The following is a 13,135-nucleotide window of genomic DNA, read 5'->3' on the forward strand; positions in this document are numbered from 1 at the left end:
GGGATGTTGAGTTGCCTCTTTTTTTTTTTGAGATGGAGTCTTGCTCTGTCACCCAGGCTGGAGTGCAGTGGCGCAATCTCGGCTCACTGCAACCTCTGCCTTCCAGGTTCCAGTGATTCTCCTGCCTTAGCCTCCTGAGTAGCTGGGACTACAGGTGTATGCCACCATGCCTGGCTAATTTTTCTATTTTTTAGTAGAGACAAGGTTTTGCCATGTTGGCCAGGCTGGTATAAAACTTCTGACCTCAGGTAGATCCGCCTGTCTCAGCCTCCCAAAGTGCTGGGATTACAGGCGTGAGCCACCGCGCCCCGCCTCTTGTTGTCTCTTTCAATGTATTGCACAAACCACGTCTCGTCCAACTCGATGTACTGCCAAATTAATTTGGCTCTAGTTCAGATGGTACTAGATGGTACCTATATCAGATAATACAACAGAAGGTCCTGGCCCCTTTTGTGCAGGCTAAGCAAGGAAGGCTGCTCCCACAGTCAGGCCAGGGCCTGCAGTACTGGGCTGACTTGGTGGTGGACCAGGACAAGGATGGGGAGGCAGGGGACATGCTGCCCCGGCTGAGCTCCCAGCCCCACCACTGTCCCAAAGACAGTGCGGGACATTTACAAAGCATCAGCTTGTTCTCCTCCTTGGTGAGCCAACCAGAAAAAACAGGAAGCCACTTCTGGAAAGAATCTCTTTTCCGATTCTTGCGGGAGGAGGGCTGGTGGTGGGGGTTCTACCTTTTCCTGAGTTGCTCTCCATTGACTGGGACAGCCTCTTCACCCGTTTCTTTCCTCTCCGGACCTCATAAATGGCGTTGATTCGCAACACCAGCTGCCAGACACCAGGAGAAGAACAGCCAGTGTTAGCAGCCCACTCTCTGTGGCAGCTGGGCTTCCCTCACTGCCCCTCTCCTAGGACGATGGAGGGCCAGGGCCAGGGGGAGTGGGAGAAACTTCCCATGGGCTCATGGGTGTCTTTCAATCATTTTTTTTTTTTATTTTTTTGAGGCAGAGTTTCGCTCTTGTCGACCAGACTGGGGTGCAATGGCGCAATCTCAGCTCACTGCAGCCTCTAACTTCTGGGTTCAAGAGATTCTCCTGCTTCAGCCTCCTGAGTAGCTGGGATTACAGGTACCCACCATTATGCCCAGCTAATTTTTGTATTTTTAGTAGAGACGGGGTTTCACCACATTGGCCAGGCTGGTCTCGAACTCCTGACCTCAGGTGATCCACCCACCTTGGCCTCCCAAAATGCTGGGATTACAGGCGCGAGCCACCGCACCCAGCCCAGTCATTTTTTTCTACCACACAGGAACGTGACTGTCAAGGACACTAAAGGAGGCTGCCAGCTCCACTGCCCTATGGGCGTCTGTTGTCTGGATCTGCTCACGAGCAGCAGAGACCCATGGGGAGACAGCCCATTGCTCATGATGCGATGGCTGCTTTCCCTCTGAGGCCTCGATGTCACTGCGGCTTGGGAAGGAGCTTTTCCTCCCAAAACAAAACAAGAAAAGGAAGAGACAGAAAAAAAAAGTTCCCAGGCAGGGCTCCCTTCATGGGAACTATTCCAAAGAATGTCAGAGCAGCCCTGAGTGGGGTGAGAACCGGGATTAGAACTGCTCCCGAGCCCTAGCTTGGGACTACGGGGAGTGGTGCCATGCACCCGAGCGTGCAGCCCCATCTGCAGAGGGACACGCTCCCCAGATGTCATGTACCCTCCATGTGTTCACAGAACACACACATGCAGTGTGCAAGTGCACATGGATACCCTGGTGTGGGACACATCCCAAGCCTCCAAGCAGGCCACTCAGCCTATGTGGTCTCCCCCATCACCACTGCCAGACGCCCTGTGCCCTGCCCCTCCCCACCTCCCAGGCCAGCCTAGTTGTCTGATGCATTTGAAAGGAGACCTGCTTCCATGGAAAATGTTTTTCATATTTCAGACCAAAAAAGTTTGGTGTTTCCTATGTATTTGTTTTCCCTCTTCTTGCGTGAGAAGCTGGTGAGTGCGAATTTATGTATTTTGCTTTGCTGGGTCCCCCAGGGCTTGCTATCAAAGAGTACACGCTCATGGCATATGTGATTCAGAATCCCACACGTGGAGGAACTCTAAAATTAGTTGTTCTGTGTGCTTACAAAATTAATCTTATTATCTCACAGCTATATGTTAAATGTTATATAACACTTTTATCTGTATAGGTCAGTAAACAAAAATATAGGATGGTAATCAATTTCCATGTTCTATAAATATTTTATTTATCTATTTATTTTGAGACAGAGTCTTGCTCTGTCACCAGGCTGGAGTGCAGTGGCGTGATCTTGGCTCACCACAACCTCCGACTCCCGGTTTCAAGTGATTCTCATGCCTCAGCCTCCCAAGTAGCTGGGATTACAGGTGTGTGCCACCATGCCCAGCTAATTTTTTTGTATTTTTAGTAGAGACGGGGGTTTCAACATGTTGGCCAGGCTGGTCTCGAACTTCTGACCTGAAGTGATCTGCCCACCTCAGCCTCCCAAAGTGCTGGGATTACAGGCATGAGCCACCGTGTTGGCTTGAATATTTCAATTCTTATTTTCAATATTTAAACATTGTCTGGCCCTCTTTGCTTCTAGCTGGTTGGGTGTCTCTGGGCCATTTAGTTGGCTTCTATGGGGTCAAATGTCCTCATCGGGAAAATGAAGGGGTTGGAGTGTTTCAACAGTCACTTCTGTTGAAACACTCCAACTTTCTAACAGCCAAGTGTCCATGGACGGATAGATGGATTTACAAAATGTGGTATATACATACGATGGAATACCATTTAGTCTTAAAAAAGAAGAAAATGCTGACACATGCTTAAACCTTGAAGACACTAAGCAAAGTGAAATGTCATTCACAAAGGACGATTCTGTGTGATTCCACTTACCTGAGATATTTCCAACAGTCTAACTTTCTAGGTTCTAGGATGACAGTTCTTAGCTGTCCTCAGACTTGCCAAGTCCTTTCATAACCTCTCCTAGTGCTGCCAAGGTGAGTCACTCAGTAGGCACCACTACTTAAAGGTGCATTCCCTAAGTGGACTTCAGCAGAACCATCTCTCTCTCTCTCTCTCTCTCTGTCTCTCTTTTATTTTTAGAGGCAGCATCTCGCTCTGTCACTTAGGCTGGAGTGCAGTGGCATGATCATAGCTCACTGCAGCCTCTAACTCCTGGGCTCAAGTGATTCTCTCTCACCTCAGCCTCACATGTAGCTGGGACTACAAGTGCACACCACCATGCCTGGCTAATTTTAAATTTTTTTTGTAGAGATGGGGTTCCACCATGTTGCCCAGGCTGGTCTTGAACTCCTGGGCTAAAGTGATCCTCCTATCTTGGCCTCCCAAAGTGCTGGGATTACAGGTGTGAGCCACTGTGCCCAGCCTCCCTGGACTTTCTTTCAGGTCAATGGGTCACTCAGAGAAGTCCCTTGAAAGCTACAGACAGTGTCCCACACCGAAACTTATCTGCATAAAGTTTTACATTTTTATGGGTTTCATGACCCCCTAAAGCCCATCCATGAACTCTGAAATTAAGAATCCCTGCTCTCCAAGTTCCTGGCTGGGCACGGTGGCTCATGCCTGTAATCCCAGCACTTTGGGAGGCTGAGGCAGGCGGATCACGCGGTCAGCAGTTCGAGACCAGCCTGGTCAATATGGTGAAACCCCGTCTCTACTAATAATACAAAAATTAGCTGGGTGTGGTGACTGTAGTCCCAGCTACTCGGGAGGCTGAGGCAGGAGAATCGCTTGAACCCAGGAGGCGGAAGTTGCAGTAAGCCGAGATCACACCACTGTACTCCAGCTTGGGCAACAGAGTGAAACTCTGTCAAAAAAAAAAAAAAAAAAAAAAGAAGTTGATCTTGAAGGAGTTCAGGATGTAACTCCCCAAAATATGCCACTTTGGCATATTAGTTGTTTTTAACTAAAGACACTCTAAAAACAGCAGGTGCACAAAGGGCGCTCTGACCTTCCCTTTTCTTCTTAAAACAGGAGATGAAACTCCATGTAAAAGAGGCCCTCCTTATAACAGGAGGGAAGAAACATTATCAGCAGCGATGGGGAGTTGAGGCCAAGAGAAATCTAATCAAACAAACCTTGTTTAACCCCTATCTTCCTGGTTACTTTTCCACAATTGCCGCTCTTTCTTCAGCCTAGTATATAAGCACATAGGCCCAGTCACTTCTTTGGGTCTTACATTTTTCTTTTGAGGGCTCCCACGTACTTGTAAATAAAATGAGTATGCATTTCTCCTGTTAATCTGTTTTACGTCAGTTTAAATCTAAGGCTCAGCTGGAGACCCTAAGAGGGTAGAGGAGAAATTCTGCCTACCCTACAGTACCAAATTGGTCAATGAAGAGAGACCAGAACTGCAGCACTGAAATTGAGCAAAAGGAAATGTAACCAACAACGGATGCATATAGAATGTATATTTCCAAGCCCCTGGGAATATTTTACCTTTTTGGCTGCAAAGAGCCACAAGAGGTATTGTTGACAAGGCTGTCTCAGAGCACAGACTGGGACCTGCCTCTGCAGCGGGTGTCGACCGTCTCAGGTCAGAGCATGATGGATGGAGTTCTGTTTTTTGTGGCGGTGAAGGAAGGAGCTGTGGCTTTTTGAGGATAGGCATTAAAACCTTGTCTGGGATTAGACAAGCAGCTAAGATTGGGAGAAGAGTGGCTAAGAGGAAGACCACAGGACCACAAAAATGATCAGGACGAAGGTCCGGATATTCCAGCCTGCTGGCTTCACTGTGTCCCCCTGGCCTGCAGCAACACAGGTGGGAGAGGGGCCAGTGATGTATTCTCCACCCAGACCCCTCTGCAGTCTTCTTTCACAGAGAAGGGGTCATGCATACCTGAGCATGAAGCTTGTTGCCACCATTACCTTGGGTATCTTTCTCTTCTTCCTGCCGTTCTGTGGGTCTCCAAGGTTAAAGAAAATGTCATCAGGGCTGCTGGGAGTGGAGGGAGGGCTGATTTTGGAAGGGGACCCAGTTCCATCCCGACTCAGCTTCCTAGTGTCCAGCAGCTTGAAGTTCCTCCTCTCTGAATTTTGTCGGAAAAAAGCAGGTTTGGACAATGACTGCTGTGAAGGAAAAGGAGAAAAGAAGAGTAAATGAATTCAAAGGAGACTGACCGGGGGATAACTGGTGGTGCCAGGGACGAGACAATGAAATTGAGAAGAGGAACTGGTCTATGTTCCCAGGTTAGGTGGAGTTTGGTTATGCCAGTAAGTGTTCAATGAATACATATCATCCAATTACCAAAACTGTGTGTGATGAGCGATGTAAATCTAATTCAGTTTCTTTTTTTTGAGATGGAATCTTACTCTGTCACCCGGGCTGGAGTGGAATGGCGCGATCTCTGTTCACTGTGACCTCCGCCTCCTGGGTTCAAGCAAGTCTCCTCCCTGAGCCTCTCGAGTAGCTGGGACTGCAAGCACACACTGCCACGCCCAGCTAATTTTTCGTATTTTAGTAGAGACGAGGTTTCACCGTGTTGCCCAGGCTGGTCTCGAACTCTTAAGCTCAGGCAATCCGCCTGCCTCAGCCTCCCAAAGTGCTAGGATTACAGGCATGAGCCACCACACCTGGCCCGGTTTCTCTTTTTAGACAAGTGCGAGGTCACCTGCCTCAATCCCAAGACGTTACAGCTGAGGCTTTCTGACAACCCAAGACACATGGACTAGGGGTTACAAGGCCTAAGCCTCACTTTGGCCTTGCTGCAGGATTGCTGAGTGCCTTTTATACAAGGAATTGTGTTTCTTTGGCCCTCAATATCTTATTTCTAAAACAGGCCTCTTCAAAGTCAAAAGGCTGGCCAGGTGTGGTTGCTCATGCCATAATCCCAGCACTTTGGGAGGCTGAGGAGGATCACTTGAGGTCAGGAGTTTGAGACCAGCCTGGCCAACATGGTGAAACCCCGTCTCTACTAAAAATACAAAAAAATTAGCCAGGCGTGGTGGCGGGTGCCTGTAATCCCAGCTACTCGGGAGGCTGAGGCAGGAGAATCGCCTGAACCCTGGAGGCGGATGTTGCAGTGAGCTGAGATCACGCCACTGCACTCCAGCCTGGGTGATGGAGTGAGACTGTCTCAAAACAAAACAAAAAACAAAGTCAAAAGGCAAACAAAATACTTGCTAAAAAAATTTAGAACCCATAGACGATAACTCACAGAAATTAACTCATTTTCCCAAAATACGCTACAAATTAATGAGAAAAAGACTAATGACTCAAAAGAAAAGCAGGCAAAATAATGGAAAATTTAGAGAAAAAGAAATACAATGATTCTTAGATATATAAAAAGATTCTTAGCTTCATTCCCAAGAGAAAAGAAAATTAAAGCTCCATTAAAGAAACATTTTTTTGCTCAGAGATAAGAAAATTTGATAGCTCACTCTGTTGGTGAAAGTGAGGGAGAAAAGTCACTCCCACACTGTCATACAGGGTTGGTGGGAGCATCACTTGGCACAGCTCTACGGAGGGCAGTCTAGTGTGAGCTAACAAAATTATGATGCATATAGCTTCAGACCCCGCAATTCCACCTCTAGGAATTTACTCTGCTGATATACTCTTATTTGTGCAATGTTATTTTTTACAAGGAAACATATTGTGCAAAGGATATTGTACATTGCCACATGGTTTGTAATCACAAAATACTGGAAATAACCTAGATATCCATCAATAGAGGGGCTGGTCAAACAAATTATGATATACCCACACAGTGGAATACCATGCAATTATTTAAAAAATCTTAATGTACTTGCCGGGCACGGTGGCTCACGCCTATAATCCCAGCACTTTGGGAGGCTGAGGTGGGTGGATCACCTGAGGTCAGGAGTTCGAGACCAGCCTGACCAATATGGTGAAACCCCAGTCTCTATTAAAAATACAAAAATTAGCCTGACGTGGTGGCATGCACCTGTAGTCTCAGCTACTCGGGAGGCTGAGACAGGATAATTGCTTGAAGCCAGGAGGTAGAGGTTGCAGTGAGCTGAGATCACACAACTGCACCCCCGCCTAGGCAACAGAGCAAGACTCTATCTCAAAAAAAAATAAATAAATAAACAAAAAACTTAATGTACTGATATGGAAGGTTCTTTCAGATATATATATATATATAATTATTTTTACATCATTGACATTTTTTCATACTTCAATGCGCCAACTGTATTTTTCTTTAGTGTATTTTTTATGTTCTTTGTTTATCTTTTAGGATTCTAATGTTTTTACTATTTTCAATGAGCTCTACATAGAACAGATATTAACTATTTGTCAGGTTTGCTGTAAGTGTGCTTTTCCCATGTGATTTACTTGTATTTTTATTTTAGTTATAATAACTTTTTATATGAAAATGTGTTAATCTTTTCTTTTGTAATTCATTTAATCTCTTCTTTCTTTGCCTAAAAAAACTATCTCCTTTTAGATGTTCAATAAATATTCAATTCCATTTTCTTCCAGATTTTCTTGGTTTTGTACACATTTTATTTATTATTCCATCGGTAATTTATTTTGTGATATGTTCATCTAAACCATTTTCCCCCAAAATAACTTATCCTTGTTCTATTTAATGAAAGAGCTTTTCTTTATCAACTTATGAGGCCACATTTATCCTATCTTAAACTCTCACAGAATAGGCATATTTTGCTCCATTGATTTCTCCATTCGCTATTTGCTTAGTTCCAAATAGTAAGTAGCAATAACTTCAGAATCTTTTCTTTTTAAAAAGATTTCCAAAAATAAAGACTCCTAGTTTCCTAAGTGGCCAGCTCCAATGTTTTATCACAGGTCTCCAAGGAGCAATAAATTGCTTAGTGCCATAAACTTTCAGTAGAGGAAGAGCTGACCTGGATTGGGCACCATAAGAGCACAAAAAGAAGGAAGAGGGGCAAGCCTTCTTTGAGGCCAAATTCCATCTACAATAAAATCCAAGGAAATGCTCCTACCATTGCACTGGAATCTCCTGTCAAACTGTTGGGAAAACGTAGGTTCTGCTTTTGTTAGAGATGTAGATTGTGATGGTGTTCATTCAAAGGAGATATGACCTATGAAAAGGTCAGAGAAGAAAGAAACCAGAGAAGGAATGGAAACACAACACACAGCTTTCTGAAGAATGTGTGGGCTGCATCTCTGAGTGGTCACCCTGCTGGAGAAAGGGGATCCTGATGTGTTCCAGGGCACCCCAAATAAGCCACCAAATGTTCAGGGAGCTTTCATGATGCGGTGGGATTTCAGTAGATATTTATTTGATAGAATGGGAAGACTTAGCTGTGGGTGAGAGTATTAGCAATGACACAGTACTATCTGAGAATAGTGGTGAGGGAGAGTAAATTAGATCAAAAGAGTCTTCAAGCCTTAGAGTAAGCACAGTGAAACAGATGGAAGAGATGATACAGCAATGAAGACATCTAATTGTCTATTGAAGGCCTTTGAAAGTGAGGATATGAATCTTGGACTTAGGGATCAGAAAACTTTTTCTTTTTTTTTTTTTTTTGAGATGGAGTCTCGCTCTGTTGCCCAGGCTGGAGTGCAGTGGCACAATCTCGGCTAACTGCAACCTCCACCTCGCGGGTTCAAGTGATTCTCCTGCCTCAGCCTCCCGAGTAGCTGGGATTACAGGCGAGTGCCACCACGCCTGGCTAATTTTTGTATTTTTAGTAGAGACGGGGTTTTGCCATATTGGCCAGGCTGGTCTCAAACTCCTGACCTTAGGTGATCTGCCTACTGTGGCCTCCCAAAGTGCTGGGATTATAGGCGTGATCCACCGCGCCCAGCCAGCAAACCTTTTCTAAAAAGCCAGATTGTACTTAAGGCTTTGTGGGCCATATCCTCTCTGTTAAAACTACTAAACTGTGTCCTTGTAGTATAAAAGCAGCTGTAGATAATACGTAAATGAATGCACCTGGCTGTGTTTCCATAGAACTTTATTCATAACATCAGGGAACCAGCAGTTGCTTGTCACACCCAGAACTATGGCATAAAAGGGAAGTCACTCTAGGATCCTAAGAACGATGTGTCAGACTGTGGTCCAGAGAAGATTCTAGCTTTTGATCAGAGGACCTTACACCAACATGTATGGCACCTAAATCCCATTGTGTCCCTCTGGAGTAACCTCAGGGGCTTAGCTCTGCTGAGAGGCTCCCAGACACCCCTAATTGTATAGATCTCCGACTCATGATGGCACAGCAAAAGATCTGTAGTGTCCAAAAGGGAAAAGAGACAAGAACCCTGATGGTCTGAGGTCCAACCTCCCTGCTGAAGCCTCTTCAGTTGTTTCAGGAGAGTGGCCAGGGGACATCCTGGGCGGGGTGGGGGGTGCAGTGGCAAGGAAGCTGTGTGCCCCATCAGAGGGGGCCAAGCTGGATTCGAGCCCAGGTTCATTAACCCTTCTTGTCTGTGAACGGTGGCTGGTGGCTCAATTCCTTCCAGTCCTCTACTGCCCCTGACTTTACTGCCTCAGGAGACTCTGCCTGTGGGAGACTACAGGGATCCTTGATATAAACTATCCCCATCCCCCTCACCCATCTCAACATCATTCCTACTCTTAGGAGACCTCCTGTGCTGTCTGTCATTCACACAAACATACATATTTGCTCATATGTGCCTGTAGGTACACACATTCTTGCATGAAAAAAGAGACACTTCTCTAAATATATATACAGAGAAAGGCATACAAGGGCCAGGTGCAGTGGCTCACGCCTGTAATCCCAGCACTTTGGGAGGCTGAGGCGGGTGGATCACTTGAGGTTAGGAGTTCGAGACCAGCCTGGCCAACACGGCGAAACCCCGTCTCTACTAAAAATACAAAAATTAGCTGGGTGTGGTAGTGGGCACCTGCGCTACTCAGGAGGCTGAGACAGGAGAATCGCTTGAACCCAGGAGGCAGAGGTTGCAGTGAGCTGAGATCATGCCACTGCACTCTAGCCTGGGCGACAGCGTGAGACTTCGTCTCATAAAATAAAATAAAAATAGAAAGGCTTACAAGGGCATTCTAACAATGGGGACTAATGACATTCTATGAAGATAATGGGATACCGTGCAGGCAATAAAAACTGTTTCTAAAAATAAATTAGGCTAGATGCGGTGGCTCATGGCCTGGAGCGGTGGCTCATGCCTGTAATTCCAGCACTTTGGGAGGCCACGTTGGGCGGATCACAAGGTCAAGAGATCGAGACCATCTGGCCAACATGGTGAAACCCCATCTCTACTAAAAATACAAAAATTAGCTGGGCATGGTGGCGCACGCCTGTAGTCCCAGCTACTCGAGAGGCTGAGGCAGGAGAATTGCTTGAATCCCGGAGGCGGAGGTTGCAGTAAGTCACGATTGTGCCACTGCACTCCAGACTGGCGACAGAGCGAGACTCTGTCTCAAAATAATAATAATAATAATAATAAAAAGAAATTGATGACATGGGAAAATACGATCAATATAAAAAAGCATCAAAACTGCATATACAATATAATGACAAATCTTTTCTTTTTTTTTTTTGAGACGAAGTCTCTCTCTGTCACCCAGGCTGGAGTGCAATGGTGGGATCTCAGCTCACTGCAACCTCCGCCTCCCAGATTCAAGCAATTCTCCTGCCTCAGCCTCCCAAGTAGCTGGGATTACAGGCGCACACCACTGCACCCGGCTAATTTTTGTATTTTCAGTAGAGACGAGGTTTTGCCATGTTTGCCAGGCTGGTTACAAACTCCTGACCTCAGTTGATTCGCCTGCCTCGACCTCCCAAGATCACAAATCTTTTAAAAAAATGTATACACACATGCACACAAACACATGGACGCACACCACACGAGATGTGTGTGAGAAAATCCGGGAGGAAATAAACCAAAGTGTTAGCAGTGAGTGTTGGGGTTACATGCACGTTTTAAGAAGATCTTTAAAATACACACACATAAATACACATATACAAGATGTCAATCTGGGCCAGGCGAGGTGGCTCACGCCTGTAATCCAAGCACTTTGGGAGGCAAAGGTGGGTGGATCACCTGAGGTCAGGAGTTCAAGACCAGCCTGGCCAAAATGATGAAACCCCGTCTCTACTAAAAATACAAAAAAATTAGCTGGGCATGGTGGTGGACGCCCATAGTCCCAGCTACTTGGGAAACTGAGACAGAGGTTGCAGTGAGCTGAGATCATGCCACTGCACTCCAGCCTGGGCAACAAGAGGGAAACTCCATCTCAAAAAAAAATGTAAATCTATTACAGAAATATTAGAAAATAGAGGCATAAAGAAAAGTAAAATTCCCCAATTGTGGACGAGTTTTTTTCTTCATTAAACTTTGCAGTAATTGAAACACTTATTCTTTATCATGTAACCAGAAAAACTTTACAATTACAATGTTTTCAGAAAAAAAAGAAAGGCATGTATGTATGCATGTATGTATGCATGTATGCATGTATGTATGTATTTATTTATTTTTGGAGACAGGCTCTCACTCTGGAGAGCTGTGGCACAAAAATAGCTCACTGCAGCCTTGGACTCCTGGGTTCAAGTGAATCTCCCATGTCAGCATCCCGAGTAGTTAGGACTACAGGCATGCACCACCATGCCTATCTAATTTTTAAATTTTTTATAGAGATGGGGTCTTACTATGTTGACCAGGCTGGTCTTGAATGCCTGGCCTCAAGCAATCCTCCCACCTTGGCTTCCCAAAGTGCTAGGATTACAGGCATGGACCACTGCACCCAGCCTGTTATTTTACTATTATTATTATTTATTTATTTTTGAGATGGAGTCTCATTCTGTTGCCCAGGCTGGAGTGTAGTGGTGCAATCTCAGCTCACTGAAACCTCCGCCTCCCAGGTTCAAGAGATTCTCCTGCCTCAGCCTCCCAAGTAGCTGGGACTACAGGCGAGTGCCACTACACCTGGCTAATTTTTGCATTTTTAGTAGAGACGGGGTTTCACCATGTTGGCCAGGCTGATCTCGAACTCCTGACCTCAGGTGATCTGCCCACCTTGGCCTCCCAAAGTGCTGGGATTACAGGTGTGAGCCACTGTGCCCGGCCACCCAGCTTGTTATTTTTAAAAAGAACATATATTCAAAAGTATAGGCCAGGTGCGGTGGCTTATGCCTGTAATCCCAGCACTTTGGGAGGCTGAGGTGGGTGGATCACTTGAGGTCAGGAGTTCGAAACCAGCCTGGCCAACATGGTGAAACCCTGTCTTTACTAAAAATACCCAAAAAATTAGCCGGCACAGTGGCCTGTGCCTGTAATCTCAGCTAGTCAGAGGGTGGGGCATGAGAATCACTTGAACCCAGGAGGTGGAGGTTGCAGTGAGCCAAGATCGAGCCACTGCACTCCAGCCTGGCTGACAGAGCAAGATTCTGTCTCAAAAGAAAAGAAAAGAAACGGTGGGTGATGCGTAGCAAGAAAAGAAAACAGTCCCTTTCAGGAGCTTGCAGTTTGCGTTCAGCAGCAGCAGCATCTGCCCGCAGCTACACATTGGTCCTTTCTGAGGAGAGCCTATCCAACAGGCCCTTCCCTCTCGAATGGAAATTCTAGTGACCCGAATAACTAGCTGTGGCCTAATGAAATGAACATCCCAAAGATGGCTGAGGATCTCTCCGCAGCTGGTGGGGGAGGTCACATGGAGGGACTGCTCCTGCAAGCTTTAGGGTCCCAGATGCAGCCCAGATGCGGTAGATACTCCATGAATATTTGATGAGCTAATGGAGGAAGTGGTGAAGTCTCCAGCTGTCCCCTAGAACAGGGCACACAGCAGACACCCAGATGTGGATGAGCAGAATAATGAGCACGGACACCGTGTCCCGCTGAGGGCTTGCAAGGATCCGTGGCAATCAGACACGTGCTCTGGACAACTGGATTCTCTTTGTTCAGGACAGCTACAGATACAGATACAGCTGGACGTTAAGTTCTTGTTGACATTCTCACCTACTGGGCTTAGCTGCTTTGGTGGCAGAGGCTCTAGGTTTTCTCCAGCCCAGCAGTGACAAGAAGAAAAGGGTTGGTAAGCCTTTATTTCCTGGTATCAGGGAGGAGCGTTCTGCCCTGAATGCAGAGCTGCCTTGGGCAGATGTTTTTTTTTTTTTGAGACAGAGTTTCACTCTTTTACCCAGGCTGGAGTGAAGTGGCATGATCTTGGCTTACTGCAACCT

At 46.1% G+C, this 13,135-nt stretch overlaps 1 protein-coding gene across 5 annotated transcripts in view, besides 2 other annotated features; it reads right to left on the reverse strand.

The window, feature by feature from the left end:
* The window catches only part of DENND2A (DENN domain containing 2A), a 123,042-nt gene that overhangs the window by 50,495 nt on the left and 59,412 nt on the right, over positions 1-13,135 (reverse strand). For all 5 annotated transcript variants that reach the window (NR_134477.1, NM_001318052.2, NM_015689.5 and 2 more), the window contains 2 exons: positions 4,895-5,095; positions 732-825 (listed from right to left, as the gene is read on the reverse strand). Coding sequence is in view for 4 of the 5 variants with exons in the window: in NM_001318052.2 (NP_001304981.1) it covers positions 732-825; positions 4,895-5,095 (295 nt within the window). In the remaining variant the exon portion in view is untranslated. The remainder of the gene's footprint in view (positions 1-731; positions 826-4,894; positions 5,096-13,135) is intronic.
* Positions 489-989: an enhancer, noted in NCBI's record as "H3K27ac hESC enhancer chr7:140269202-140269702 (GRCh37/hg19 assembly coordinates)". NCBI's record gives its function as "activates a minimal SCP1, AML or CMV promoter by ChIP-STARR-seq in primed H9 embryonic stem cells {active_cell/tissue: H9 hESC(primed)}" and the evidence as "EXISTENCE:reporter gene assay evidence [ECO:0000049][PMID:30033119]".
* Positions 990-1,490: an enhancer, noted in NCBI's record as "H3K27ac hESC enhancer chr7:140269703-140270203 (GRCh37/hg19 assembly coordinates)". NCBI's record gives its function as "activates a minimal SCP1, AML or CMV promoter by ChIP-STARR-seq in primed H9 embryonic stem cells {active_cell/tissue: H9 hESC(primed)}" and the evidence as "EXISTENCE:reporter gene assay evidence [ECO:0000049][PMID:30033119]".

The sequence above is a fragment of the Homo sapiens genome, chromosome 7 (genome assembly GCF_000001405.40).
Source record: "Homo sapiens chromosome 7, GRCh38.p14 Primary Assembly".
Classification (NCBI taxonomy): Eukaryota; Metazoa; Chordata; class Mammalia; order Primates; family Hominidae; genus Homo; species Homo sapiens.